The 26,706-nt window shown below is 37.6% G+C and overlaps 2 long non-coding RNA genes across 8 annotated transcripts in view; both read left to right on the top strand.

Annotated features, from left to right (window-relative positions):
- LOC105374007 (uncharacterized) overlaps positions 1-26,706 on the top strand; it is a 175,630-nt gene that overhangs the window by 28,093 nt on the left and 120,831 nt on the right. For 4 of the 6 annotated variants that reach the window (XR_001740465.2, XR_001740461.3, XR_001740464.1 and 1 more), the window contains exon 3: positions 20,151-21,514. The exons of 1 other annotated variant lie outside the window; for it this stretch is intronic. This is a non-coding gene — a long non-coding RNA (uncharacterized LOC105374007). Of the gene's footprint in view, positions 1-20,150; positions 21,521-26,706 lie in introns of those variants that run through there. One more of the 6 variants, XR_924270.3, reaches the window with a different exon arrangement.
- LOC105374005 (uncharacterized) overlaps positions 22,444-26,706 on the top strand; it is a 46,233-nt gene continuing 41,970 nt past the window's right edge. For both annotated transcript variants that reach the window (XR_007095985.1, XR_001740466.3), the window contains exon 1: positions 22,444-24,893. This is a non-coding gene — a long non-coding RNA (uncharacterized LOC105374005). The remainder of the gene's footprint in view (positions 24,894-26,706) is intronic.

Below are 26,706 nucleotides of genomic sequence, written 5' to 3'. Positions count from 1 at the left end.
AGTTGAGTTGGGATGAAGTTTGACCAATGAGAGACTGCAGATGAGAAGGAGCTAGTAGTCAATAGCTTGCCCTTCCTCATCCACCCTCTACAAAGGACTCTTCTAGGATGTAATGGTGCCATGTGGCCACTCTGGGGATGTCCCTCCCTTGTGACTGAGCAACCAGCTGTTTGTTCTTATAAAGCTGTGGCCAGCTGAATAATGCACCATTTTATATGTGATCTTCGTTTTGCCTGACTCACTCTTCCTTTTACTCTTGCTTTCCTGAGATAAAGCCCCCCAACACTAAAACCTTACCATGGGGTCTGATTTCCAGGAAATCTGAACTTGGACATCTCTTAAGTTTCAACTTCTCCAAAGTTTACACAGTACATCACAGTCTGTTAGTAGTTTATGCAATCATTTTCAGTGCATCACCATCAGCATTTGAAAACATAATGAAATAGAACAGAAGCAAAGTATCAGGGTATATCTTATATACTGAAGATAAGCACCATTTCCTAAAACTGTTGATTCATGTATGTGTGTATGTTTGAGGTTATGAGTATGTGCGTACTGAGTTGTGATGTTAAATGTGTATTTTGCTGTGTGTCATTGTCAGAAATGTTTGAAAGTCACTGGTCGAGGCAGCAGCTACATGAGGTGAAGAGTTCATGTTATAGCTATGACATCCAGTTGTGCATTCACAATGTCCTATCAGTGGAAACTTTTGGTGCCCTAATTTCTCACTTTGAAAAGTATTAAAATGTCTTAAAAGCCCTCACATGATTTTCCTAAATGGAAAAAGCTTACATTTGCCTAGCAGTCATCTTAGAGGAAGAATCTTTTGCAGTATTATTTCTTTCCCTGGAAGCTAGATGGCATACCTTATTTAGAAAAATAAAGGGGATTATCTAGTGAATGGGGTTTTATTCAATCATGTCTAAATGTGTTTATTTATTTATATGCTTTTGTGAGACTATGGTTAAATAGGCAGATACATTTTCCAGTAGCAGTCATTGACAATCCAGGCAACCAAAGTAATATGCATCTTACTTTTTCTTAATGGTGTTTATATTTTGAAAAATATATTCACTTTTTCAAGTATGATGACTTATTGATACTCCTTGAAACATCCTGATTTGGAGAATGCTGGAAATGCTGGGGGTTGGGAGAGGGAATACAAGTCTCAAAGCTGTGAATGCACTTGCTAACTTTAAAAACAAAACATGCAGGGCAAGTTTTAGTTTATAGTGTGTGTACTGATTTAACCTGAAGATAATAACTAAGAACAGCTGCTGAGTTGCATGTGGTTAAATTTTCTGAGATAAAATACTCTGGCAAGACACTTGAAAAACAAACAAGAAAGTTTGTGAAGACAGATGACAATCTTGTAAGTATGATCCAAAAATCAAATAAATGGCAAATGTTGTGTTAATCTCTCTGATTCTAAAAAATATTTTCACTATCACCAGGGAGGGTAATTTGAATGGATTCACACCCTCTTCAAAATGCAAGGACATAGTTAAGTTGCCAAAGCCTTATCGAATTCCTTTTAATGTTATTGTAATTCCTAAGTAGCAGATGGGTGGACCTAGCTTTCTCACTTGATAGTCATAACACAATCTACAATTACTGCCAAGCCTACTGAGAATTTAATACATTTAGAAATCTCTGAAGAGAAATTTTGAAGTTCATGCTATCTACACCCAGATGGTCAAATCATTAAAGCTTGGTAAAGACTATGAGAGGTTATCTCTTCCCCATTAGTTATTATGGAATAACTAGTGAGCACCACTCTGTGTCCAAATAATATGGGATTTATAAACTACTTTGGATATTTTTACTTATTCATAAGTATTAGTGATATGCTTAGTAAATCTAAAGAATAGTATTTAAGGGGAAGAATGAGTATTCATTTCATTTTTGTAGAGCTATTTCAGAAGGTATGTATTGACCAGAGTAGATTTGATTCAATATTCATTATTCTTATTGTGGATTCAATAGTAACAAAGGCCAACTATCACATAAAGGGAGCACACTTTGCAGAAGTAGCCTTGGCCTAAGATGACGGGTCTGCTGGTCATCTTCATATCTGTACAGAAGTCCCATTTATCGTCTGCTTGTTATTTGGTCTGCTTGTTGACCACCTCTGTGGCAGATCACAATTCCATTCTCTCCCCTATATTCATCTTCTTTGCCATGTGACTGTTCAGTTTCCCTCATTAAAAGGCTACAGTTTATTTCCTCACCCTTGACTTTGGGGATTGGTCACAAGCCTTGTTTTGGCCAATAGAATTAGATGCAAGTCTAGGGTGCCAGTTATGAACCTAGGCCCTAGAGACTTTGTGTGTATCGACTTGCTGTCTTGTGCTTCTGCAATCCATGAGAATAACATTCCCAGGCTAGTCTGTTAGTCTTAAGAGAAAGCTGAGAGACATATGGGTGTGGGGTGGGGGGTAAGTATTCAGTCAAGTCCAGCTGGGATTAGCTACCTCTAGTAGACCTGCACTGCAAGAGCTAAATAAGTGCTTATTGTTGTTTGCCAATAATGTTTAGTAGATTTTGTTATGCAGCATTATTGTAGCGATAATTGATTGATAGGCCCTCCAAATCCACATGTGATTTTCAGGAAATTTCTTGGCCCCATCAGATTTTAGAAGTTGATCTTTGTCTTGTGGATTAAATAAGGAATTAATTCGACCTCTGCAGAAACAGAAAATTAAAAACTGTATGTTATCACTTATAAGTGGGAGCTAAACAATGGGTATATATGGACATATGGAGTGGAATAATAGATATTGGAAACACCAGATGTTGGAAGATTGGAAGAGAGGTGAGAGATAAAATGTCACCTGTGGGGTACAATGTACACTATCAGGATCATGAGTGTACTAAAAGCTCAGATTTCACAACTATCTAAGATATGCATGTAACACAACTGCACTTGTACCTCTAAGTCCAGAAAAATAAAAAAATAAATAAAATGTGGCTTTTCAGGAATATACACATTTGAGTTAAGAGAATAAAGCAATTTGCAGAACAACAACAACAAAAAAATGGATTCCTGGCTTTATTCTTGAGCTCTAGATCCATGTACTTACTCTTTCTGGGCTCACAAAAACATCAAACAGCAGTCAAGTTTGTCAGGATATCACTTGACCTCTACACACCGTATACTAAAATATTACATATGTTCAGCTGCTCTGGCCGAGACCTTCTCTGTATTTAGTCAGGTTCCAAAAATCACATCTCCACTAGTTCTTTTCCTTTCTCTTCATGTGCAAGGTTATAGGAGGCTTCATGTTGGAACCCGACTGAGTTATGAAAGCATTCAAAGACACCATTACCTCAAGTAATTTTGATATAACGAGGAGTTATCACTGGGTACATTGAAAATGTTAAAATTATTAGTACAATTGCTGCAGACTAAACTTCTTTCCCTAGGTATTATTTCTGGAATCTCCTAGGAGTTTATTGAGTAAAAAGTCTAGGATTACAATCACCGTGCTGTACAGTTCCTACCTTATAATAAGTTAATGGCTTCCTACAGAAAGAACTCATATGTGACTATGCCATGCCTTGTCCAGCTGCAGATGTAATGCTTCAGTAAAGATTTCTAAAGGAGGTCCTAGCCAGAGCAATCAGGCAAGAAAAGGAAATAAAAGGCATTCAAATAGGAAAAAAAAAGAAGTTAAATTATCTGTCTTTACTGATGATATAATTCTATACCTAGAAAACCCCAAAAACTCCACCAAAAGGCTCCTGGAACAAATACATGACTTCAGTAAAGTCTCAGGATACAAAAATTAATGTACAAAAATAAGTAGCATTTCTACACACAAATAACATTCAAGTTGAGAGCCAAATCAGGAAGACAATTCTATTTACGATAGTCACACATGCAAAATACTTGGAATATGTCTAACCGGGGAAGTGAAAGACTTCTACAAGGAGGACTATAAAACACTGCTGAAAGAAATCATAGATGATAAAAACCAATGGAAAAGCATCTCACGCTCATGGATTGGAAGAATCAATATCATTAAAATAACGATACTGCCTAAAGCAATTTATGAACTAACAATGTTATTTTTCACTTAATTAGAGACATCTATTTTAATTCATATAAAACCAAAACAGAACCTAATTAGGCAAAGCAATCCAAGGCATCACACTACCTGATTTTAAACCATACTGCAAGGCTACAGTAACCAAAACAGTATGGTATTGATATAAAAATACAAAGCAGTGTAACAGGATAGACAAACCAGGAATAAAATCACACACCTACAAGCATCTGATCTTCAACAATGTTGATAATAACAAGCAAAGAGGAAAGGACTCTCCTTTTAATACATGGTGCTGGGATGACTGGCTAACCATATGCAGAAGAATGAAACTGGACCCCTACCTCTTATCATATACAAAAATAACTCAAGATTCAAATATAAGACTTAAAATTATAAAAATCCTAGAAGAAAACCTAGGAAATACCCTTGTAGACATCTACCTTGGCAAAAAATTTGTGATTAAGTCTCCAAAAGCAACTGCAACAAAAACAAAAATAGACAAGTGGGACATAACTGAACTAAAGAACTTCTACACAGCAAAAGAAGCTAACAGAATAAACAGACAACCTACAGAATGGAGGAAAATATTTGTAAGCTGTGCATCTAACAAAAGTCTAACATTCATAGTCTGTAAGGAACTTAAACAATTGAACAAGTAAAAAACAAAAAATTCAATTAAAAATGGGCAAAGGACTAAACAGATACTTCTCAAAATAAGACATACGCATGGCCAACAAATACATGAAAAACTGCTCAACATCACTAATCATCAGAGAAATGAAAATCAAAACCACAATGAGATGCCATCTCACATCCGTCAGAATGGCTATTAATAAAAAGCCAAAAAAAAAAAAAAAGAAAGAAAAAAAAAACAGATGTTGGTGAGTGTGGAGAAAAGAGAACGCTTATACACTGTTGGTGGGAATGCAAGCTTGTTTTAAGTTCTTTGAGAAATCTCCAAACTGTTTTCCACAGGGGCTGAGCAGTTTGGAGATTTCTCAAAAAACTTAAAACAGAACTACAATTAGACCCAGTGATTCCATTACTGGTTATATACCTAAAAGAAAATAAATGGTTCTACCAAAAGACACATGCACTTGTATGTTCACTGGAGCACTATTCACAATAACAAAGACATTGAATCAACTGAGATGCCCATCAATGGTTGACTAGATAAAGAAAGTGTCATACATATGTGCCATGGACTACTGTATAGCCATAAAAAGAATGAAATCATGTCCTTTGCAACAACATGGATGAAGCTGGAAGCCATTATCCTAAGTGAATTAGTACAGGAACAGAAGCCCAAATACCACAGGTTCTCACTTATAACTGGGGGCTAAACATCGAGTACACATGGACATAATATGGGAACAATAGATACTGAAGACCACCTGGGGTACGGGTAGGAGGGGAGTAAGGGTTGAAAACTACTTTTCAGGTACTATGCTCACAACCTGGGTGACAGGATCATTTATTTGTACACCAAACTCAGTGACACGCAATTTACCCATGTAACAAATATGCACATGTACCCCAGGAACCTAAAATAAAAGTTGAAGAAAAATCAGGAAATTCCATTTCCATAGGAAAAAAAAAGTTCTTGAAAAGAGAGGTCTTTCTCATCTACTGGGATCTCTGTAGCTTCTGGGTCGCTCCTAAAATTTCCTAGACACGTTTTACTTCTGCTCTCTCATCAAACAGAAGTGGGTGAATTTAGTACTAGGGTAATGTGTGTCTTCTGCCATATACAGTCAAAATGGCACCTCTGGAATACTTGTAAAATATCTATTACATTTCAGTTAATTTTGTTGGATATAATGAAGCCCAGACCAAGCTCTCATCATCAAGAGAACGTGTACATATGAAACTAGCATAATATTATTATGAATGCCTAGAAATTGTAGATAAATTGTCCTGTGAGACACAGGATGGAATAAGATACTATCTATTACTTCCACCATCGAAATGACTGCCTTAAAACTGAAATGTTTAGAAAAATTCACACTTTCTACCTCTATTTGAAGCACTCCCTTCAATATAGGTTCTCTGAGTATTTGATTGAGTTTAGACTTGGGCTTCTGGGTGTTCCCAGGGAACAAGGCTATTCTAGAGATGGCCCGAAGATAGCTAGCCAGTGCTCTGTATTTATTTCCTATGAAGACCAATGCAATTATGCTCCTAGTTCTAGGACTAGGGACCAGTCACATTTTTGGAGAGATTAGTTTGGTACATCTCAAATTACAAACCACTTTAAATTCACCTCATTGGAGGCTTGCTAAAAAGAAATTCTAAAGCCCCACTCTAGGAGATATATTGAATCAGAAGCTTTGGGCAGAGGTCTGAGAATATTCAGTTTAACAAGCTTCCTGAATGATCTTAATACTCGGAAAGTATCCTGAGAAACAGGCCATATCTGGCTCTCCTGAAGCTTTAAGCCTCCTTTGGCCATATATGTCAAGCTTATTGGGCATTTTAATTGTGTTCTGGATTCCCTTACCAATCCGTTAATACATATTCTTGCCAGGCATGTTATAGGATCTAGTGATTCAATAGTAAACAACAGAGACAAAGGCCTCCCCTCAAGGAGTTGACACAGTTTCCTGCAAAATGTCTTGATCCACTAGCAACGTTAACTCTTTCTAAAATCACATTTATGTAGGTCAGGACAATCCAGTGGCTCCTTAGAGTTCAAGAGTTTGATAAATGTGTCTCCTCAACTTAAAGATGGCCCACTCTTATAGCTACACTCATACCACTAGCAGCCCAGTGTCTTTGAGCCTATAACTACAAACTCATTTAGCTCTCTTGAGCTGAGGTACCCAGCTTCTCATTTTCTGAATTCCTTGAAACATGCTCACTGAACTTAAGGGCAAGTGTCAAGCTGCCTACTTAGAACTTTCTGGCATAGTCACAGCTGAACATATTGAATCTCAGAAAGTTATTTGTTGTAGAAAGTTTTTTTTAGCTTAGAAAACTCATACCAACTGTTCTTGCTTATTTCTTCCTAGAAATATATGCTGAGGTGCTAGACCCCCACATGAGAAATATGAAAAGAATCCTCAAATGTTTTATTACTCTGATAACACATGGGAAAAATATGTGCTTGAAATTCCATTAATATAGGTCATAAATTTCTCTGTGAGTTAGATCAGGTAGGTTGGAGAATATAGGGACTACTCTGTAATAAATCAGTACTCTGTATTAGATCTGGGGGAACCTGCTTTCCCAGACAAGAGTACCTTATGTGGCTTCCCTGAAGAGACTTAATTGGCTCTATAAGTTTCCTCCAGGGCACGCTGACTCCCCAAAATGTAACAGTCCTTGTCTCTGAACCATATTCCAACTCAGTCTCTGTGGATGCCTACAGAGAACATATGAACCTGAGTTGGAACTCCAAGCGATTGTCTAAAATATCCCAGAGCACATGGGCTATGTCATGAAATGTGCTAAAATTATACTAGAATTGCCATTTAAAGCTTGTTAGGTCTGTCTGAACAGTGCTGCCACTCGTGAGAGCTTGTGGAGGCATCAACAGAGCTTGCTGAGGCCCTAAAAGCAAAGAGGTGTTTCAGGAGCCCAGCCTAGCAAGTTCAACTCAGGCCAGAAGGGACCCTGAAATACTGATGCAGAGGTTATATTATTCCTCACCCATACCATACCCTCCATGATTCCGAATGTACCTAAGCATCCATCTGAGACTTGGCCCTTCACAAATGCCAGTAGAGTCTGATTTGTGAATGCTGACTTTAGACTGGACTGTGATAAAATATGCTTCCTGTGAGCCTTTGCTGTCTCCATTTATCTACCACTAGACCTTGAGAGCTAAGAAAATATTGCAGCAGATACACTTAATGCTTCAGCCAGACTCTGGTATTAAAAACTACAATGAGGGTGGGAGATTGAAGAATCTTCTAGCTACAAATGTCAGCCTTGCAATAAAAATCACAATTGGGAACCTAACCTGACGGGGAAGCCCTAGGGAAAGGAGCTGTCCCTGGTATTGGTGCTGATTGGCCACAGCTTGTTTGCCCTATCAGGAACAGGAAAAAACATGTGGGAATAGGTTGATGGTCTTAGTGAGTCCCATCTGGAAAGGCATGAGGAAAGGAGAGAACAGAAGAAAGGAGGAGAAGAAAGGAGGAGAAGAGGAAAGAGAAGAGGAAAGGAGAGGATGAAAAACAGCATTGATATAAATACAAACTAGATAAAGATGATCTGTTTGAAGGGCTGCTGTTTCTCTAGGCCCTTTGCAGGTAATCATGGAAGAATCTCAACACCTACTTTACAATATGAGGGAAACCAGATACAACCTAATCGTAGGGTTGTTTTATCATATCTCCAGTAGTCCATTGTTGGAAATAAACTTTTGAGACGTCAGAATTATAGTATAAGCAAGTTTAATTACAAATTTACAATGTCAAGCTACCGCCCAGTTTAAGGAGAGGGCCGTTTAAGTAGAGGTTATGCAAAAGGGTGCAGACCCTTAGAGGTCTAAAAAAAGAAGCCTTTGACCAGCATAATGTTTTCTGTTTAATCTGGAACCATGAGTCATGCTTCTGTTAAGCAAAATCAGCAAAGTGTATCCAGACTGATATTCTAAGTCTATAACCATCATCAAGTGTCCATCAATAGGAAAAAAGTATAAAATACCCTGCTGATTATGAGAGAGGTCTCAACAAATCCATCCTACTTTATGGGAGGTGCCCTGGAAATAGATGGTGCTTGTTCTTGCTTTGATTTTTCTTTCTTTATGGTCTGTGGTTGTCTTTTGTGCACCATGTTATTTCCCTCACCAATTAAACTTAGAGTTTAGGGCAATGAAGGGGAGAACTGGCACTCTATAGCCTGTAGTGGAAGTGTTAGCTACATCTCTATACCCTGCTTTGAAGCGTTGCTCTATGAACACTAGACACCAGACAGCAGCTGGTTCCCTCCTACATTCTTCATCTTTCCTGGTTCTTGTCCTAGTGTCTGATGTCTATCTTTCTATGGGCATATCGGACATAAGAGCAAGTTCTGCCTGTTTGGATCCTAATGCTAGATTTTGTCGGGCATCATTGTTGCTATGTCTTCCACTTTTCCATCTAGTGACTAATTTCAATCACTATCTTAACGCTCATTTCAACAAAGAACTATGAAAGGCAGTGTTGTGTAGCAAACCAATCCAAGAACAGAAAAAACTGGATATTTTGCTTATCCAATCTATCTTTCTCTGGTTAGGAAGAGAGATTCCAAAGCCAGATTGCCTGGGGTTAGATTATATCTCTGGCCCTGCCTGGCTATATTCTTGAGCAAGCTACTCAAACTCTCTGTGCTTTGGTTTCTTTATCTATAAAACAGAGATGGTTACAATGGAGCCTACCTCATGGGACTTTTTTGAGCATTCACTGAGATCCATTTCCTCGTCTATAAACTGAATCAATGAAAGCTTAACTCATGCTTTGTATGCTAGTTGCCTTATGTCTTATTGGCTCTGCGCTGCTATAACAAAATACCACAGACTGGGTAATTTATAATGAACAAAATTAATTTTCTCACAGTTCTGGAGGCTGGGAAGTCCAAGATTGAGGGGCTGGCATTAGACAAGGGCCTTCTTGCTTTGTCATCCAATAGTGGAAGGTGGAAGGGCAAGAGAGGCCAAGAGTTACCAACCCCACCCATGAGAGTGAAGACCTCATGGCCTTATCACCTCTTAAAAGTCCCATCTCTTAATACTGTTATAGTGGCAATTAAATTGCAACATGAGTTTTGGAGGGGACAAACATTCAAACTGTATAGCGCCTTACATCATCATATCTTTTGATCCTTACAAGCCTTTGAGGTAGGGCCATTATTATTCCCATTGTATAGTTCAGGCCAGAGAAACTAAGTACATTTTTTGAAGATTAAACACCCACTAAATTGTGTGGCTAGATCTTAAACATAGGTCTAACTTCAAAGACTGAGCTTTTGACATTATATGACCTTAGATTGGCTAATTGTTCCAATCCAGGCCCTTTTCTGTAACTCCTAGGCTCCCAAGCCTTTATCTTACTTAGCCCTGGTTCTCAGCCCTCAGATTATGCAGTTACTTGGGTATAGCAACATAGATAGAAGGGATTGATCGGCCGGGCACGGTGGCTCATGCCTGTAATCCCAGCACTTTGGGAGGCCGAGGTGGGCAGATCACGAGGTCAGGAGATCGAGACCATCCTGGCTAACATGGTGAAACCCCATCTCTACTAAAAATACAAAAAAAAAAAAAAAAAAAAATTAGCGGGGCATGGTGGTGGGTGCCTGTAGCCCCAGCTACTCGGGAGGCTGAGGCAGGAGAATGGCGTGAACCCAGGAGGCAGAGCTTGCTGTGAGCCGAGATCTCACCACTGCACTCCAGCCTGTGCGACAGAGCGAGACTCTGTCTCAAAGAAAAAAAAGGGATTGATCGTAGCAGGAATGAACACTGTAGAGCAATGACCCTTTTGTCTTTCCTTTCTACTGAGTTCAGCTCATTCAAAAAAGTAGCCATCTAGCTGTGGTCTTGACTGGTGGGGCCAGAGGGCTTCTGCTTCACACGAAGAAATCCAAATGGGCATATGCAGGTGTATCTTGTGTTCATAGTGACATTCCTCCAGAAACTCAGTGTGAATGTAGCTCAGCAAAATATGTAAAAGGAGCTTATGAAAAAATAAAGAAGAATTTTTTTGAAAGTCAGAAGGGTTTTAACTTAGAAGAATATGTTGAGTTAATCACTTTGAAAATATTCTGTTCAACATCAAATTAGCAAAATGCAAGATATTTCAAATAGAAAGTTCATTTTAAATTCAAATAAAAACAAAAGAAAATTAACTATGAGAACATTTCCTTACAATGAAATCTAAATGCCATGCAAAGACTTTCCCTAAATTTGAGTTTGAAATAAAGTTTGTGTGTGTGTGTGTGTATTTGTGTTATGTGCATGTTTTGGAGATCCTCTTTCCCAACAAAGTGATGCAAGAACCCAGTTTGAAAATAACAATGTTATGGTTCCTTTAACCCAAAGAAATTCCAAGCTTGCTAAGCTGTTTTTTTTTTATATTGCTTTTTTTGGATCTTTCATGTTGGAATTTATGTGCTTTAGAAGTTTTAAAGGAAAAAGGAAACCCTCAAACTACTCAAAGATTTGAATCTCACTGTCATCTAAAACTGTAGTTAAGAGAAAGATTAATAAAACAACAGGCCCCAGTGTGTGGGGTCGGGGGAGGGGGGAGGGATAGCATTAGGAGATATACCTAATGTAAATGATGAGTTAATGGGTGCAGCACACCAACATGGCACATGTATACAAACGTAACAAACCTGCATGTTGTGCACATGTACCCTAGAACTTAAAGTATAATAAAAAATATATATAAAAAAGATTAATGAAACAATAAAAGGAATTAATTAAAACCTTCCATAAAAACGAAGCATCTAAAAATAAAAACCACCATAGAGAATAAATAATAGAACTATTCAGATTAAATGAGTAAGTCTTTCCAATTATTATACTCTCAAGCACACTGAAGGAAAATATAATTCTGTAATTGTTACTATTATTTTTCTTAGGTAATTAACTTACATTATTAATCTTTCCTATACAGAATGCTTTACTGTGTAATTAAATGTCATAGTATTCATGGATCCTACTTCATGGACCTACAGAGTCAGTGTGATTGTTGACTCAGAGTGTGACTATATTTTTTCATTTTGAGGTATTCAAATGAAAGAACTAATACTTTTAGGTGATAAATGCTTTCCTCCTTTATTCAGAAAAAATATTTTATTACTTTTTAATATTTTCATATCCATAATGAGCAAGATTTATCTATTCCATCTTGATGTTCTCTTTAATTTTTTTATAATTTCAATTTTTATTATAGATTACAGGATACACATGCAGGTTTGTTACATAGTAAATTAAATGATGTTGAGGTGTGGAGTTCCAATGATCCCATCACCCAGGCAGTAAGCTTAGTACCCAACACGTGGTTCTTCAGTTTATACCTTCCTCCCTCCTTCCCCCATCTACTGTCCCAGTATCTGTGGTTCCCCTCTTTACATTCATGTGTATTCAAAGTTTAACTCCCACTTATAAATGACAATATGTGGTATTTGGTTTTCTGCTCTTGGGTTAACTTGCTTAGGATAATGGCCTCCAACTCCATCCGTATTGCTGCAAAGAACATGATTTCATTCTTTTTTATGGGGCTGCATAGTATTCCATGGTATATATGTACCATATTTTGTTTATCCAGTCTATTGTTAATGGGTACTTAGGTTGATTCTGTGTCTTTGCTAATGAATAGTGCTGCAATGAATACATATATGTGTCTTTTTGACAGGATGAATTATTTTCCTTTTGGTATATACTCAGTAGTGGGATTGCTTGGTTGAATGCTAGTTCTGTTTTAAGTTCTTTGAGAAATCTCCAAACTGCTTTCCACAGGGACTGAACTAAATAGTGGGAGTTTACATTCCCACTAACAATTTGTAAGCATGTCCTTTTCTCCACAGCCTCACCAGCATTTGTTATTTAATAATCACCACTCTTGACTGGTGTGAGGTGATATCACATTGTGGTTTCGATTGGCATTTCTCTGATGATTAGTGATGTTGTTGAGTAATTTTTCATGTTTGTTGGCCATATACATGTCTTCTTTTGAGAAGTGTCTGTTCATGTCCTTTGCTCATTTATTATTGGATTTTTTGGGTTTTGCTTGTGGATTAGTTTAAATTCTGTATAGATTCTGGATATAAGAACTTTGTCAGGTGCATAGTTTGTAAATATTTTCTCCGATTGTGTAGGCTGTCTGTTTACTCTATTGGTAATATCTTCTGCTGTGCAGAAGCTGTTTAGTTTAATTAGGTTCCATTTGTCTATTTTTGTTTTTGTTGCAATTGTTTTTGGAAAGAGTCATAAATTATTTGCCAAAACCTATGTCAAAAAGGGTATTCCTGGGTTTTCTTCTAGGATTTTTATAGTTTTGGGTTTTACATTTAAATCTTTAATACATCTTGAGTAATTTTTGTATATGGGGAGAGGTAGCAGTCCAGTTTCATTCTTCTGCATATGGCTAGCCTGTTATTCCAACACCATTTATTGAACAGGGGGTCCTTTCCTTATTGGTTACTTTTGTTGATTTTGTCAAAGATCAGATGGTTGTAGGTGTGCAGGTTTATTTGTGGGTTCTCTATTCTGTTCCACTGGTCTACATGTCTTTTTTTTTTTTCTAGTACCATAGTGTTTTGATTACTGTGGCCTTGTAGTATAGTTTGAAGTCAGGCAATGTGATGCCTCAGACTTTGTTCTTTTTGCTTAGAATTGCTTTGGCTCTGTTTTCATTCCCAACTAATTTTAGAATAGGTTTTTCTAATTTGTGAAAAATGATATTGGTATTTTTATAGGGATAGTGTTGAATCTGAAAATTGCACTGGGCAATATGGCCATTTTAATTTTATTAATTCTTCCAGTCCATGAGCATGGAATATTTTTCCATTTTATTTGTGTCATCTCTGATTTCTTTCAGTAGTGTTTTGTAGTTCTCATTGTAGAGATCTTTCACCCCTTTGTTAGAGAAATTCTTAGATATTTAATTTTCCTTTTTTCTTCTCTTGTTGCTTAGGCTGGAGTGCAATGGCACGATCTTGGCTCACTGCAACTTCACTGGCTATAGACAGGCAAAACTCAATAGCTTTGTTGACTATGCTAACAGTAATGATCTAAGTTTTTACCCTAGATGCAACTAAAAGCCACTAAAAGGATATAAGGTAGGGGATAGGAAAATAAAATAACAGTTACACTTTTTTTTTTTCTTGAGATGAAGTCTTGCTCTGTCACCCAGGCTGGAATGCAGTGGTGTGATCTTGGCTCACTGCAACATCTGCCTCCCGGGTTCAAGCGATTCTCCTGCCTCGGCTCCCCGAGTAGCTAGGATTACAGGCACCCACCATCACGCCCGGCTAATTTTTGTATTTTTAGTAGAGATGGGGTTTCACCATGTTGGTCAGGCTGGTCTCGAACTCCTGACCTCAGGAGATCCACCCGTCTCAGCCTCCCAAAGTGCTGGGATTACATGCGTGAGCCACCGCGACCAGCCAGTATTTATTTTTTGTGGCTGTTGAAAATGCGATTGTGTTCTTGATTTGGTTCTCAGCTAGAACACTATTGATGTATAAAAATATTACTGATTTTTGTACATTTATTTTGTATCCTGAAACTTTGTGTCATTTATCAGTTCCAGAAGCCTTTTGGCAGTGTCTTTAGGGTTTTCTATGTATTGAGTCATAACATTGGCAAAAAGAGACAGTTTGACTTCTTTTCCAATTTTGCTCTGGCTAGGACTTCCTTTTTTTTTTTTTTTTTTTTTTGTTTTTGAGATGGAGTCTTACTCTGTCACCTAGGTTGGAGTGCAGTGGCACAATCTTGGCTCACTGCAACCTCCACCTCCCGGGTTCAAGCAATTCTCCTGCCTCAGCCTCCGGAGTAGCTGGGATTCGAGCATGAGCCACCATGCCCAGCTAATTTTTGTGTTTTTAGTACAGATGGGATTCTGCCATGTTGGCCAGATTGGTATCAAACTCCTGACCTCAGGTGATCTGCATGCCTCTGCCTCCCAAAGTACTGGGATTACAGGCATAAGCCACCACACCTGGCCATGGCTAGGACTTCTATTACATTGTTGAATAGAAGTGGTGAGAGTGGACATCTTTGTCTTGTTCCAGTTCTCAAGGGGAGGATTCCAGCTTTTGCTCATTCAGCATGATGTTGGCTGTGGGTTTGCCATAGATGGCTCTTAATATTTTGAGGTATGTTCCTTTGATGCTAGTCTGTTGAGGGTTTTTTGTCATGAGGGATATTGGATTTTATTGAAGGCTTTTTCTGCACCTACTCTAATGATTGTATGGTTTTTGGTTTTAATTCTTTCATGTGGTAAATCACATTTATTGATTTGCATATGTTGAACCGATCTTGCATCCCAGAAATAAAGCCTTCTTCATTAAGATGAATTAACTTTTTGACGTGCTGCTGAATTTTGTTTGCTAGTATTTTGTTAAGGATGTTTATGTCCATGTTCATCAAGGATATTGGCCTGAAGTTTTCTTGGTTCATTGTGTCTCTTCCAGATTTTGATATCAGGCTGATGCTGGCTTCAAAGAATGAGTTAGGGACAAGCCCCTCCTCGATTTTTCAGTAGGATTGGTATCATTTGCTATTTCTATGTGTGGTAGAATTTGGCTGTGAATCCATCTGGTTCAGGGCTCTTTTTGGTTGATAGGTTTCTTATTACTGATTCCATTTTTACACTTATTATTTGTCTCTTTCCACTTTCCTCCTGATTCAATCTTGGGAGTTTGTGTATTTCCAGAAATTTATGAATTCCTCTAGATTTTCTAATTTGTGTGCATAGAGATGTTTATAATAGTCTCTGAGGATCTTTTATATTTCTGTGGGATCAGTTGTAATATCATCTTTTTCATTTCTGATTGTGCTTATTTGGATCGTCTCTGTTAATCAAGCTAATGATCTATCAATTTTGCTTATTTTTTCAAAGAACGAACTCCTGATTTTATTGATCTTTTTAATGGACTTTTGGGTCTCAATTTCATTTAGTTCTTTTCTGATTTTAGTTATTTCCTTTCTTCTACTAGCTTTGCAGCTGGATTTGAAGTAGGTAGAAATTGTCTAAAACAACTCCTGCCTCTTTTTTCTTAATTTTTTTTTTCTTATTTGGAGCCCACCTCTCCCCCTTATATGTGCACACCTGGCCCCACAGATGTTCCCCATTCTTTGGCCACTTAATGACTGCGTTTGATGTTTTCCGATGCTATTTCACTCTCTGCTGCTGCTACCTAGAGTATCTTGCCAGAAATCAATGTCCTACACATTTTCTCACTTTCTCCCTTTTCTTCATATCTCAGCTACTCTTTCCTTCCCATTGTTCTCAGTTGATGACCTTTTTGTTATTCAGTTTGTCTTCAAATGTTCGTGGGAAATGCATATTACAAAAAAACTATGCATGGATTTCAAAATTTTGTACCAAAATAAACTTGTACTAACTTATTGTAACATGACTGAATGGAATCTAGTTGAAGACACTAACAAGGATAAGAAATCAATTTAAAAAGAGCTCCTGTCAGTGTAACACGAATCCTGCTAAAATTGAAGTCAGAACAACAAATTTATGGTGAAGCTTGCATAAAAGAATGATGAAATTATTGATGCTTTATGAAAAGTTTATGGGGGAAAACCCCCAAAGAAATCAGCAGTTTAAAAATGGATATCTCATTTTGAGAAAGGATGAGACAATGTTGGAGATGAAGCCCACGGTGGCAAACCAACCCCATCAATTTGTGAGGAAAAAAATTAATCTCATTTGCACAAATTGAAGAGGATTGATGATTAACAGCAGAAACAATTTTCAACACCATAGCCATCTCAGCTGGCCCAGCTTACACAATTCTGATGGAAAAATTAAAGTTGAGTAAACTTTGTACTCAACTAGGGTCAAAATCATTACACCCAGATCAGCTGCAGATAAGAGCGAAGCTTTTGATGGAAATTTTAAAGCAGTGAGATTAAGATCCTGAAGAAGTTCTCTGAAGTATTGTTAACAGGAGGTTGAAAGTGGCTTCACTAATATGATCCTGAATACAAAGTACAATCAAAGCAATGGCTACTAAGCAGTGGAATTGGTCCAGTCAAAGCAAAAATGGACCAGTCAAGAACCAAGTTCATGGAATCAGTTTTTTGGGGATGCTTAAGATATTTTGCTTGTTGACTTTCTGGAATGCCAAAGAATGATAACATTATTAAAGTGTTTTGAGAATGTTAGTCAAAGCTTTGCAGAAAAATGCCTCGGAAAGCTTCACCAGAGAGTCCTTCTCCTCCATGAAAGTGCTCCTGCTCATTCCTCTCATCAAAGAACAATTTTGGGATTTAAATGGGGCACAATTAACATCCTAATTTGCCTCTTCTAACTTCTTTTTGTTTCCCAATCTTAAAAAATCTGTAAAAGGTGCCCATTTTCTTTTCAGTGAATACTGTAAAAAAGTCTCCAGTGACATGGTTAAATTCCCAAGACCCTCAGTTCTTTAGCGATAGACCATGGCTGATTTCATTGGTTACAAAAGCATCTTGAACTTGATGGGGCTTATGGTAAGAAATACTTCATAGTTTTTATCTTTCAATTCCATGTCCATGGGCTTTTTGAAGTTCCCTATCACTGGAGAAAAAGAAGCAAGTAGAAAAGGACTTTCTTTTCTACCACTAAATAATATCTGTACCAGTATATTGTACCTTTAGTCCCTTTCAGATATACTGTGTCTACTCTTTTCTACTGTTAAGTCCTCCACTTGTGCACTGGATCTTGTTTTCTGTTGTCTAACCTAGATTTTTCTCTTGCCCATTTCTTTCCAACATGAATTCCTTCAGTTCTACTGGATCTTCCTATCAGCATGTAAACATGCTGTAATGTCTTGCACTTAAAAAAAAAAAAAGCCCATAAAACCCTCCTTTGATCTCCTTGTTATTTTCCAGCTGTTTCTCCATTTCTTTACTCCCTTTATATGAGGCAAAATTTCTGCAAAGATTGCCTGTTATTGTCTCCCTTTTTTTTTCTTTCATTTCCTCTTGAACTCACTCAGTGAGGTTTGTCCTCATCATGCCATGAAAACTGAATACCAGTGCTCTAGGTGTTCCCAAATTCTGTGGTCAATTCTCAGTCTTTATCTTGACCTTTTGGGAGCAACTAAAAGTGTTTATCACTCCTTTTTAAAATGCACTTTCACACTTGGCTTCTAGCACACCACAATTTTTGGTGTTTCTTTTTTTCAGGCTTCTTCATCTGTATTATTTTGTGTTAATCAAAAATCCTTTGTTGGTCCTTTCATTACTGACCTGTAAATGTTGGAATGACAAGAGTTTCTTGGACTTTATCAATTTCCCATCACACTTATTCTTTGGGTCATCTTATTATGTTCAATGATTTTAAACACTATCCACTTATGTCTCCAATCTTAATCTCTCCTCTGAGCTCCAGACATCTTAATTCAACTTCTTACTCAATATTTTCATTTTAAAGACAAGTATATAGCTCAAATGTAACATGATCAGAATTCTTAATTTCTCCCACTGACCTGAGAAGTCAATGCTATTCACCTGGTGGGCTTAGACTATAAACCTAGGAGTCAATCTTAAGTTCTTTCTTACAAAATATTCACATTTAATCTTGAAACTGTTCTTGTCACTTCTACTTTCAAAACATACTTCCACCCAAAAATTTCTTATTGTTTTTACTGCTATTATCCTCGTCCAAGCCACTATCAACTTTCTCCTTAGCTCCATCTCTCAGGTGTCCATTTGTTCAGCAAAGACTTAGAAGGTGCTTGTAATGTATCAGGCACTATTCTTGGTGCTAATTTTGCAACAATGAGTAAGTCAAATAAAAGCCCCTTCTCTCAAGAACTTAACTTCTGCTTTAGGGAGATGCTTCCTCATTGGCCTCTTGGATCTCCTCTTATTCTTTCCCCCATTCTTCACATAACAGCCAGAATAATCTTATAAAAAGCTGAATAAGGTCATTGTTTCCCTGCTGAAAGCCCTCTAGTGGCCTCTCTGCCCTCCTCTTCACTCCTCCTCACCTTCATTTATTCCATGACAGCCATACAAAAACACGCTAAGCTCATTCCAGCTTCCTGGACTTTGCACATATTGTTCTCTCAGTGAGACAGTTCTTCCCACATTGCTTGTGTGGCTTGCACCCTTACTTCATTCAGAGTCTGCTTAAATATCACTTGGAGACAGTTCCTTTGATTAACCCTCACCTCTCTCTCTTTTTTTAGACACAAGATCTTGTTCTATCACCCAGGCTGGAGTACACTGGAGCTATCATAGCTCATTGCAGCCTCAAATTCCCAATTTGAGTGATGCTCTCAGCTCAGCTTCCTGAGTAGCTGGCATTACAGGTTCCTGCCACTCCACCTGCCTAATTTTTTATTTATAGAGATGGGATCTTGCTATGTTGCTCAGGCAGGTCTCAAACTTCTGACCTCAAGCAATTCTCCCACTTCAGTCTCCCAAAGTGCTGGGATTACAGACATGAGCCACCATGCCCAGGCTGATTAATCTCTTTTGTATAGCATCCCCTCATCATTCTCTATCCTTTGACCTTCATTTATTCTCCTTGCAGCATTTACCCACCTGACATGATACTATCTATTTGTTGATCTAAATTTTGTTCATCTCTTCCACAAGAATGTAAACTAATTGAGGTAGAACTTTTATCTGTCTTGTTGCTTGTTCTTTGTCCAGAACTCAGAATATAGCTTGCCATATGGTGGACAATGAATTGATGAATGAAAAAAAAATCAATGTCATAATGGGGAAAAAGCTTACTAAACTTGGAATCAAGAGGGATCAAGACAACTGGGTTCTAATCCTGGTTCCCTCATTGACTAATTATGAATCATTTGACTTTCTTGGATCTCAGTTTCTGTACAATGAGAAGTTTGGATTGTGAACTTTTAAGACCCCAATTCCACCATTCTCAAATTCTGTGTGTGTGATGTTTTCACTTAGAGACCATCTCTATGTCTCAACCCTAGGCCCAAACAGGATTTATGGCATTTTTTTTTCTAGAGCTCTTGGGAAATAAGCACAGGACTTTTCTTCCCTCTATATCCTGTCAAGGTTGAAATCCCCTCCAGGAGGGAAGTCACAATATTTGCACCTGCACAAACATTTCAGTGGAGAATCTCCCCAAGTTGCCTACTGAAAGGAAGAAGCCAGAGTTGTGAATTCCACATGGAAAGAGATTCAATTGTGCTTTGATCAGAAAGTTCATTACATTTGCTTCAGATTGCAATGCATATTCACTCAGGCCTGCAATCACTTACTCTGTGTTAGGCAGAAATCTTAGTGGAAAAAAAATAGCATGTGTGTACAACTCCATCTGTGTGAGTGCCTGCCAGAAACATTTATGAATCACTTGTCTCCTGATAGACAACTTGCCTTCTTAGTTTGCAACCATATTTCCCACAGATGTTGCCTTTGAATTAGCCATTGTCTCATTTAGTTTTGAATGTTTTCTCTGATTTCAGACTGTAATATGGGCAAATCCCACCTACCATAAAAGCTGGCAATACTTGCCTAATATTGAAGGAAGGAGACATTTAGAGCAAGCCAGGAAGCTGGAACACCGGATCAGGAACAGACACTTCTCCGCAAGTTTAGAGTTTGGTATTTCTCAAGTCCTGGCCTGAGGGATGTTTACTCTCAGGTTATACAAAGTCCCAGCTTGGGTTCTGGAAAAATTGAACTGACAACTTTGCCTGAAAGAAGTTTCTTGCTAACTCCTAGGTACATCTTGATTTTATTAGACCATGGCTATTATTGTGAGGTTTATTCAGAGCAATGAAGATGTCACTCACCGTGTCAAATTCATAGGTATGGTGGCCTTTATTACCTGGCAACATGCATTTTGTTATACATCAAATCCATGTAGGGCCATATTATCTGGATCTCAGATGTTACTGAGAAATGTTGTAAGGTAAATAGATTTTTTGGGGAATATCTTGGACTTAGCACACTTTACTTAATAGAAATATATTTATTGTCTTCACTTTTAAGTTACTCTGCCACTTTGCCATTCAACCTCTATTGGCTCTTTATTAACTTCAATTAGATTTTTCCTTCTCTTTTCCTTTAGAGATAAAATTAAATAAAAATAAAAACTTCTAAAGCAAACTCTATTCCTTTATAAATACTGTCTAAACGTGCCAGTGGTGTGTCCAATTTTAGACACAAGAGCTTAAAGTTGAATGCAAATTTTGATTTTCTTTATAAATGAGATGATGAAAATCTATTGTGAAAAGGTTATGAGAAAAAAGCTTATCTTGTAATTGCAGCCAAGATCCAAGCCATTATTTAAGACGTGAAGCATTTGGCAACAAAGAGATTGTTGTCATTAAAAAGGAAGCCCAACGCATTATTCTTGGGCTGAGAAAAAATAATTTAGCTGTCATTGTTATTTAAGGAGTAACACCGGAAGATGGGAGACATTAAAATAAGCAGCTTTACCTCAAGAAGTGTAATATCTTCTTTTCCCTCTAAGATGCAGAGGTAGTTAATAAACATTTGATGATTGATTTAAACATATTAGAGAGAGATTCACTTGTTAGTATTTATCATCTAGCTAAATTGTATTTTTTTAATGTATACAACTGAGATGAAGCCAATAGAACTTTACCACAGTGGTTGTAAAGAGATAAGAAATTATTATTTCTCATTATACCATCAGCAGACTGAGGTCTGTAACTTGATACTTATGCAAAAGATTACTAAATTGGTAGCTATTCTTATAAAATATTCACTTTAGGAAAGAAGGTGAGAATGAGGCCACTGACGTCATCTTGGCTTGGTTTACTTAAGCCTGGGCAAAGAGGGAAAAGGGCACTGGAGATTTGCATAGGTAAGTATTTAGAAGGCACTATTGTTTTTAAAGGCTACAGAAATGTTCAATGTGCTTATCTTCAACTCCTCCCAAATAGTTCCTCCAAATGCCCCATCCCTCAGGGGTTATTGTGAATCACAGTCCAAAATAGTTTGGCTGTCTCTTTTTTCATTTGCTTCTAATGTGGTGTTCTCTCTCTTCTTGGTATGAGAGGAAAACAATGGACATCTCTCAAAGATGTTTTCAAATGGGTTTCTTAATCTAACATACTATCTCATAAATATACCTTTTCTTTGTCTATCATCATTGCCTTAACCTTGCATTGCACTTCTTTTTCCATTTTTGGGGGTGAGGAAAGAGATGGCACATTAAGCTTAGGCCATTAAGGAGAGATTAATGCAGGACTATTTTTGAGGGTGTGAGCAGCCTTAGTGGAAACCACCCAGGGAAGGTAGAGTACATTAATCTCATAGGTCTCTCATTCTCTTATCTCCTACTGGTGCTTCCCATTGACCACACCCAATTGAAAGCTCAAGGGGCTCCTTGATGCAGGTCAACCTTTGGAGCACAGAGCAGGGTGGAAAAGATTGATGTGTGTATAGAGGTGGACAAATAGAGGTTATTCAGTGCATGGATTACTTCTGGAAAGCTATCAGTTTCTTCCTTTCCTAGCACTCAATGGGCAGCTTTCTTATTCTGTCAGTTGGTGTCTTCAGCAATCCAAAACAAAAGCATAATTTTTAAAGTGAATTGGGAATTCACATTCAAAGGGAAGGGAAAATAATCCAGGATTCTACTGTATTTTTGCTTCCCATACATAGTCTTAACCAACTTAAGCAAAACATAGGAAAGTGAATCTGCTCAAATATGTAATCTTCCCTTGTAGTCCCAAGTGCAGTATAAATGAATATGGAATGATATGTTGTAAATTATTCCAGCCACGTGCAAGTAATTGAGAGCTCATCATAGTAAAATTTTTAGTTTTTCTTACTATAATTCTATTTAATTTAGAGTATTCCTCCCTTTTCTCTATTTTTATTCCTTCTCCAATCAGTTTTTTCAATCTGTACTTTCTTGTCTTATGCGCTTTTAAATACATACCCTACTTTTTTTCCCTGATGCTGATGAAACCATTATTGCAATTAGCTAAGATACCATCAGTAGTGTGTTGCTTTCACCCTCCTTCCAGAATAGGCAGTTATAAACTAGGTTCTTCAGAGTGAGAATTCTTGACCAAGGAAAATGTTTTAAAGATTGACTTTTTATATATTAACCTCTTCTCTTTCAAAACCTCTACCTTGTAGTAGGTTATGGAAAACTCCTTCATCTCATGGGGGATGTAAATTTTGCTTAAGTTTGTGAATGTCTCCTAGTCCTCATGCCATTTCTCCATCAGACTAATGGCATTCCTTCAGGTATCATCTAAATGCCATTTTTTTTTTCAGGGAAGGTGCCTGTAAGTCCCAAGACAAGGATAAATCTTCTGTTGTGAAACTACACTATAATTCATCTCTTATATCTGTCTTGGTCTGATTGTAAGCTTCAGAAGAGCAGAAACAACCAGTGTTCTGTCTACTTCCACATCTCCTGACACCAATCATGTAGTAGACACTGATTAAAGACTTACTGAGTGGAAATTGAATCTGACCTAGTTAAAGACCAACCAAGCTGCAACCAGGCTGGTTTGGAAGCTCAAGAGCTTTATCAGTCATGGTAGGCTACACCACACTGTCAGGCTTTTTAACAGAGACATTTTTTTTTGTTTTTTTTAACAAAAAGACATGGTTTGGTCAGTAGCAGGATTAAATGTAGAATTTTGCATTTAGCTGCAAATACAGTGGAATTGCAAGTTTATTGCAATTTACAAAATTCCAAAAGATATGGCAAATATTTTTGCCTATTGCATTTTTGTAAGTATTTATTTTGGGAAGAGGCTGAAAATTTAACCTTCTTTTCATGGTCTCTTTCTTGTCTTATTTATGTCTAAAAGAAACTGATATGAAATGAACTGGAAACTTTAGGATTCTCTTTGTTCTTTTTAAACTCTTATTAAAACAATATGGAGAGAACACTGAAATTGGTCTCATAAGCTCCAGATTCCAGTTCCCAATCAACCATGTTTTCTCTTCTATAAAACACAGACAATAATAATGCCAATTGCATAGAATTGTTGTGAAGATTAACTGAGATGATTCATATAAGACATTGAGTGCAGGGCCTAGCAAATAGTAAGTGCTCATTAAATGATGATGATGGTGATGATAATGGTGATGGATGCTAAATTACTTAATATATCTGAATACTTCCTGTTTAATCTACATCACAGTATTGGGAAGTCATGTAAAAATGAGAAAAAAATATATGAAAGCACTCTGGAAACTACTTAATTCTAATGTACAACATTAATAATAGTAACAATGGGAGTGGTAAGTAATGGTAAGCATAAATGTTTCACGTGGATCTAACTCCTAAGTCATGCAAGGAGCACTCAGTTCTGTTCAGAACATACTGTGTTCTCTTTCTCTTTCTGTTTCCTTGCTTGGGAAATCAAGAGTTATGACTGGGAATGTAGTTTAAATGAGCCAGCAAAACACTCATCAAACGGTTTATTTTCCTAATCTTGGTGTATCAATTTCAAAACCTGAAAAGTTCATTTCATATTTCACAGGCTCTTTTATATATAGTGTCATAAATGCCAAGAAAGTTGTTGACTTAACTTTACATTTGTGAAAAGTAACCCTTAGTTGGCAAACAAATACTCCTGAACTGAAGGAGATAAGCTTCCTGTATACTTGCAAGTCGCTGCTTTTTGTTTTGTTTCATTTTCAAAAAACAAAAGACTTTTGGTTGCTTAAATTCTTATCACAAATAGCACAAATTTCCAGATTCTCAGCTGTGTTGAGGTCTCTAGCAGAAGTTCATTGCATTTTCTGCCAGCATTCTCCTTTAGAGGTGCTTTTACAACCAATCTTTAAGCTTGCTAAGGTTCAAATCACAGCTAACTCTTCCTGTTCAAAGCCACTGAAGAAAGACATATTTCAGAGAATCTAAACGTGGGAAAATTCTGTGCATAATCTCAGAACTTCAACTTTCTATCCCATCAAATTTGACTTAATAAAACTTCTCTTTCTCTCCTCTTTGTTTAGCAATATTAATGAAAAATGAATACAGGGTAAGAAACAGAAGGAAAAGAGGCAAAAATAGAGTATGGAGTACTTAAAATTTGTAACTAGCCTTTGAAGCATTTTTATTCATGTTATTCGGCAGATGCCTTCTGAAAAGTTTTCTGTTCAACAGAGTCATAAAATGTTAGCCCTAGAAGGTGCCTTGAAGACCACGATGAGTTAACTTTCTTCCTTTGCCAAGGAAGAAGCGATTACTTCAGCAACTGGTGGGTATCTCTTATATACGAGTGTTATGCTCACTGTGCTTTTCTGCATCTCTCTTGTTAGGTCTTGGTTATCACATAAACACTTGCCAGCAATCAGTATAATCAGTGTTGGCAAAACACAAATGTTAATGCCTTTTAATCAGCTAGGCTTTTAGAAAACTTGGGCTGAAAGCCCGGAATAATCCTACTTAGCTCTACAGATGAATGGTGCAGCAAGTTTTAAGAATTTTCATTCTTAATTAATGATGGTGACAGAAATGGCAGTTGTGTTCACAGTGATAGAAAAAAACCACATAGTCATGTGTTGTGTGGGCATGTGGGTGTGTGTGTCCTGACCTCACCACATGTTTCACATTCCCAACTTTCTTCTTACATTTCCTTCTAGCTTCTGTATTATTTAGCAATAAGCCTGGGGCAAGACACTGCCTCTGCTACCAAATGTTAGTGGAGCAAATACACCATTAATATTTCTTTGGCACGTGGGGAGGCGGGACATCTATGCAGTTTGTCCTTCCCAGATATCCTCATGTAGACCAAGTTGACCAATTTCTTTTCATAACTCAGGCCCTTTTGGCCGTGGGCCTATCTCTGTTCCTTCCATTTCCTTTCACTGCTTCCTGATAAGAAGTATAAGATTTGATGCCCTGAGTCAGAGGGTGAGGATATTTCTACTGCTAGCACATGCAGGTCAAAATCTGCTAGCACTTCTGCGGTTCCACACCCATGGATTCAACCAAATGCAGATTGAAAATATTCGGAAAAATAATTGCATCTGTACTGAATAGTACAGACTTTTTTTCTTGTCATTATCCCCTAAGTAGTACAGTATAATAGCTACTTACATAGCATTTATGTGTATTAGATATTATAACTACTCTAGAGGTGACTTAAAGATTATGAGAGAATGTACATAGGCTATATGCGAATACTATCTCATTTTATATCAGGGACTTGAGCATCCTCGAATTTTGGTATCTGTGGGGGCTACTGAAACCAATCCCCCACTGATAACAAGAGAGGACTGAAACCTTGGAACCTAGTAGTTGACACCTTAGAACCTAGGCATTTAATAACAACAAAAAAAGCCATTTATTCACTTAAGCTTGTGATTTTGGAACAAATTTTTGATGAGTAATCAGGATGAATAATAAAATTTACTTGATTATAAGAAAAGAGCTGCATTTCAAGAACTATGTTCACCTAAACATATTCTCCATAATTAGAACACTTTGGATTTAAAATCTTACCCTGAAGTACGTGCCAGTGATTGCCCTAAAAACCTTTCTATGGACAGTTACATATCCTTGATGAAATGAGCACTATAGGGACACCACTGTCTAGTTTCACCCTAATACTTCTGCTGAGGCTTTTCCTCCACACCTCCACAGCCTCTCTGCCTGTCAAGAACTCTACTCTTTGGGAGGGGCTTAAAGTACCCTAAGCTGTAGAACACAATGAGGGGTCTATGTAGTGTCTCTGATGGAGAGCAGCATACTCCAGGCATGAGTGAGCATCTTTTTGCTGGCACTTCCACCGTGGCTTGCCAGCAGCTGTTGATGCATGGTGTTTTCTGAGAGAGATGAGCAGCTAATGTGATCCTTTAGCATAAGCAGATGAGGAACTCAAGCAAGGGACCTTGAGGTGGGAGAGGATGTGGGGATGGGCTGCAAAAAGTGGTTTTGCTTTGACTTCCAAGAGGATCCCTGTGCTGGACAGACAGACTGTTTTCTAATACATCAGCTTCTTCTAGTCATAGATCCCTCCCCCACATCAGGGTTCTCCTCTACCCAAAGTTGTTTAATTGGTATTCTTT

The sequence above is a fragment of the Homo sapiens genome, chromosome 3 (assembly GCF_000001405.40).
Source record: "Homo sapiens chromosome 3, GRCh38.p14 Primary Assembly".
NCBI lineage: Eukaryota > Metazoa > Chordata > Mammalia > Primates > Hominidae > Homo > Homo sapiens.
Note: the sequence above shows the minus strand (reverse complement) of the source record. Positions and strands in the feature narration are given on the sequence as shown.